Below are 5530 nucleotides of genomic sequence, written 5' to 3' on the forward strand. Positions count from 1 at the left end.
GAGAGGGAACACAGCTGCAACTGAGAGGAAACATAGGGGAGCCACACAACCGGACAAGAGTCTACCAACTGACCAATAAGCCTAAGTGTCACCTGCTGGATCACACCCCAAAGCTTCAACACGAAAAATACTTCACTAACATATCCCCCTCTGAAACCAGAGACAAGACATCAGCTTCAAATAAAGACTCTACACAAAGCCTTGGCCCAGTGAAAACATCCAGAAAAGAAGTCTATTGTCTGTACTGAATCTATGTTGCAGTTTCATGTGGTTTCTTACTGTTTCCTTTTCTTTGAAATGCCAAAGAGTTGCACAAATTGAGAATGTCAGGGTTGGAAGTCCCCATAAATGCTGTCAACTCCAACAATGCATCTGGCTCTTAAGTCTTCTGTACAGTTTCTCTAAGTGGTTGCCCACATTGTGGTTAAACACAGCCAATGCAATGAAAGCAACCACCTGATAGGCAGCCCATGCCACCTCTCAGCTGCTGGAAAGCTGTCTTCCCCCTTTAGCAGCCATCAAATCACCACCCCTCCACAGCTGACACCAGGCCCTGCCCATCTACCTTACAGGACATCTCTTGTAGGGTGTATTGATCTTCCTCGGCATCTGCATGTTGCTACCAACATGCAGAGATGAGAAAGAACCAATGCAAGAACTCTAGTAACTCAAATGGCCAGAAGGCCATATGTCCTCCAAACGACCGCACCTCTTGTTCTCTAACAAGAGTTCTTAACCAGGCCGAACTGGCTAGAATGACAGAAATAAAATTCAGAATATGGATAGGAACAAAGACTATTTAGATTCAGGAGGATGGCAAAACCCAGTCTAAGGGAAATAAGAACCATAATAGAGTGATACCGGAGCTGAAGGGTGAAATAGCTGGTTTGAAAAAGAACCTAGGCTGGGCATGGTGGCTCGCACCTATATTCCCAGCACTTTAAGAAGCCAAAGCAGGTGGATCACATGAGGTCCGGAGTTCGAGACCAGCCTGGCCAACATGGCGAAACCCCGTCTCTACTGAAAATACAAAAATTAGCTGGGCATGATGGCAGACGCCTGTAATCCCAGCTACTCGGGAGGCTGAGACAGGAGAATTGCTTGAACCCGGGAGGTGGAGATTGCAGCGAGCCAAGATAATGCCACTGCACCCCAGCCTGGGCAACAGAGTAAGACTCCGTCAAAAAAAAAAGAAGGAGAAGAACATAACGGGTCTGACAGAGCTGAATAACACAGTACAAGAATTGCACAATACAATCACAAGTATTAACAGCAGAATAAACTAAGCTGAGGAAAGAACCTCAGAACGTGAAATAAGAGAGTCAGACAAAAATAAACAAAAAAGAATAAAAAGGAATAAATAAAACTTCTGAGAAGTATGGGATTATGTAAAGAGGCCAAATCTATGCGTCACTGGCATCCCCAAAAGGGAGGGGGAGAAAATCTATTTTGGGATATCATCCATGAAAACTTCCCCAACCTTGCTAGAGAGGCCAACAGTCAAATTCAGGAAAACAGAGAACTCCTACAAGATTCTCCACAAGAAGATCATCCCCATGACACATAATTGTCAGATTTTCCAAGGTCAAAATGAAAGAAAGAATGTTAAAGGCAGCTAGAGAGAAATGGCAGGTCACCTATAAGAGGATCCCCATCAGGCTAACAGCAGACCTCTCAGCTGAAACCCTATAGGCCAGAAGAGATTGGGGGCCTATATTCAACATTTTTAAAGAAAAAAATCTTCAACCAATAATTTCATATCCAGCCAAACTAAGCTTCCTAAGTGAAAGGGAAATAAGATCCTTTTCAGATAAGCAAATATCAAGGGACTTCATTACCACAAGACCTGCCTTACATGAGGTCTTGAAGGGGGCACTAAATATAGAAAGAAAAGACCACTGGTAGCTAATACAAAACCACACTTAAACACACAGACCAGTGTCATTGTAAAGCAACCACACAAGCAAGCCAACATAATAACCAGCTAACAGCCCAATGACAAGATCAAATCCATAAATATCAATACTAACCTTGAATGTAAATGGGCTAAATGTCCCACTTAAAAGGTGCAAAATGGCAAGCCGGATAGAAAAGCAAGACCCAATGGTATGCAGTCTTCAAGAGATCCATCTCACAAGTAATGACATTCATAGGCTCCAAATAACAAGAGGCTGAAAAATCTACCAAACAAATGGAAAAAAGAAAAAAGAAGGGGTTGCAATTCTAATTTCAGACAAAACAGATTTCAAACCAACAAAGGTCAAAAAGACAAGGAAGGGCATTACATAATGGTAAAGGTTTCAATTCAACAAGAAGATTTAACTATCTTAAATATTCATAAAGCAAGTTCTTAGAGAGCTACAAAGAGACATGGACTCCCACACAATAATAGTGAGAGACTACAACACTCCACTGACAGTATTAGATAGATCATCTAAGGAGAAAATTAACAAAGATATTCAGGACCTAAACTCAGCATTGGATCAAATGGACCTGATGAACCTTTACAGAAGTCTCCACCCCAAAATAACACAATATACATTCTTCTCATCGCCACATGGCACATACTCTAAAATCAACTACATAATTGGACATAAAACAATCCTCAACAAATGTAAAAGAACCAAAATCATACTAGACACACTCTCGGACCACAGCACAATAAAAATAGAAGTCAACACAATGAAAATTGCTCAAAACTATACAATAACATGGAAATTAAGCAAAATGCTCCTGAATGACTTTTGGGTAAATAATGAAATTAAGGCAGACATCAAGAAGTTCTTTGAAAATAATGAGAACAAAGACACAACATACCAGAATCTCTGGGACACAGGTAAGGCAGTGTTAAGAGGGAAAATCATAGCACTAAATGCCCACATTGAAAAGTTAGAAAGTTCTCAAATTAACAACGTAACTTCACAACTGAAAGAATTAGAGAAGCAAAAACAAATCAACAGGAAAGCTAGCAGAAGATGAGAAATAACAAAAACCAGAGCTGAACTGAAGGAATCAAGACACACACACACACAAAATTCAAAAGATCAACAAATCCAGGAATGGTTTTTTTGAAAAAGTTAATAAAAAAGATAGGCCACTAGATAGAATAATTAATAAGAAAAGAGAGAAAAACCAAATAAACACAATTTGAATGACAAAGGAAATGTTACTACTGACCCCACAGAAATAAAAACAACCATCAGAAACTACTATGAACACCTTTACACACACAAACTAGGAAACCTGGAAGAGATGGATTAATTCCTGGACACATACACCCTCCTAAGCCTGAGCCAGGAAGAAATTGATTCCCTGAACAGACCAATAATGAGCTCTGAAATTGAATCAGTAATAAATAGCTTGCCAACAACAAAAAAAGCCCAGGACTGGATGGATTTACAGTTTAATTCTACCACATGTACAAAGAAGAGCTGGCACTATTCCTATCGAAACTATTCCAAAAAATTGAGGAGGCAGACTTCTCCCCAACTTATTCTATGAGGGCAGAATCATCTTGATACCAAAACCTGGCAGAGTCACAACAAAAAAGAAAACTCCAGGCCAATATCCTTGATGAACATCAATGCAAAAATCTTAAACAAAATACTTGCAAACTGAATCCAGCAGCACATCAAAAAGCTAATCCACCATGATCAAGTAGGCTTCATCCCCAGGATGCAAGTTTGATTCAACATATGCAAATCAATAAATGTGATTTATTACATAAACAGAACTAAAGACAAAAACCATGATTATCTCAACAGATGCAGAAAAGGCTTTTGATAAAATTCAACATCCTTTCATGTTAAAAACTTTCAATAAACTAGTTATTGAAGGAACATACCTCAAAATAATAAGAGCCATCTATGACAAATCCACAGCCAACTTTATACTGAATGGGCATAAGCTGGAAGTATTGCTCTTGAAAACCAGCACAAGATAAGGATGCTGTCTTTCACCACTTCTATTCAACATAGTATTGGAAGTCCTAGCCAGAGCAATCAGGTAAGAGAATGAAATAAAGGGCATCCTAATAGGAAGAGAGGAAGTCAGACTATCTCTGTTTGCAGATGACATGATTCTATATCTAGAAAACCCCATAGTCTCAGCCCAAAAGCTCCTTCAGCTGATAAACAACTTCAGCAAAGTCTCAGGATACATAATCAATGTACAAAAATTACTAGCATTCCTATACACCACCTACAACCAAACTGAGAACTGACCCAGAAAGGCAATCCCATTCACAATTGCCACAAAAAAATAAAATACCTAGGAATACAGTTAACCAAGGAGATGAAAGATCTCTACAATGAGAATTACAAAACACTGCTCAAAGAAATCAGAGAAGAACAGGTGGAAAAACATCCTGTGCTCATTGATAGGAAGAATCAGTATTATTAAAATGGCTATACTGTGCAAAGCAATTTACAGATTTAATGCTATTCCTATCAAACTACCAACAACATTCTTCACAGAACTAGAAAAAATTATTTTAAAATTTCTATGGAACCAAAAAAGAGTCTGAATAGCCAAGGCAATCCTAAGCAAAAAGGACAAAGCTGGAGGAATCACATTACCCAACTTGAAACTATACTACAAGGTTACCGTGACCAAAATAGCATGGTACCGGTGCAAAAACAGGCACATAGATGAATGGAACAGAATAGAGAGCCCAGAAATAAGGCTTCACATTTACGACCATCTGATCTTTGACAAAGCTGACAAAGACAAGCAATGGGGAAAAGACTCCCTATTCAATAAATGATGCTGGGATAACTGGCTAGCCATATGCAGAAGATTGAAGCTGGACCCCTTCCTTACACCATATACAAAAATTAACTCAAGATGAATTAAAGACTTAAATGTAAACCCCAAAACTATAAAAACCCTGGAAGACAACTTAGGCAATACCATCCTGGACATAGGAGTGAGCAAAGATTTCATGACAAAGACACCAAAAGCAATAGCAACAAAAGCAAAAAATTGACAAATGAGATCTAATTAAACTTAAGAGCTTCTGCACAGAAAAAGAAACTATCAACAGAGTAAACAGACAACCTACAGAATGAGAGAAAACATTTGCAAACTATGCATCTGTCAAAGGTCTAATATCCAACATGTATATGAAACGTAAGCAAATTTACAAGAGAAAAACAAACAATCCCATTAAAAAGTGGGCAAAGCACATGAACTGACACTTCTCAAAGAAGACACTTCTCAATGCGACCAACAAGCATATGAAGAAAAGCTCAATATCACTGATCATTAGAGAAATGCAAATCAAAACCACAATGAGATACCATCTCATGCCAGTTAGAATGGCTATTATTAAAAAGTCAAAAAATAACAGCTGCTGGTGAGGTTGCAGAGAAAAGGGAACACTTACACGCTTTTGGTGGGAGTGTAAATTAGCTCAACCATTGTGGAAAGCAGTATGGTGAGTCCTCAAAGAGCTAAAAGCAGAACTACCATTTGACCCAGCAATCCTGTTACTGGGTACATACCCAGAGGAATATAAAACATTCTACCA

At 38.8% G+C, this 5530-nt stretch overlaps 1 annotated feature.

Annotated features, from left to right (window-relative positions):
• Nucleotides 205-304: an enhancer, noted in NCBI's record as "active region_29904". NCBI's record gives its function as "activates an Ori minimal core promoter by ATAC-STARR-seq in GM12878 lymphoblastoid cells {active_cell/tissue: GM12878}" and the evidence as "EXISTENCE:reporter gene assay evidence [ECO:0000049][PMID:35858748]".

This window comes from Homo sapiens, chromosome X (genome assembly GCF_000001405.40).
Source record: "Homo sapiens chromosome X, GRCh38.p14 Primary Assembly".
NCBI classification, from domain to species: domain Eukaryota; kingdom Metazoa; phylum Chordata; class Mammalia; order Primates; family Hominidae; genus Homo; species Homo sapiens.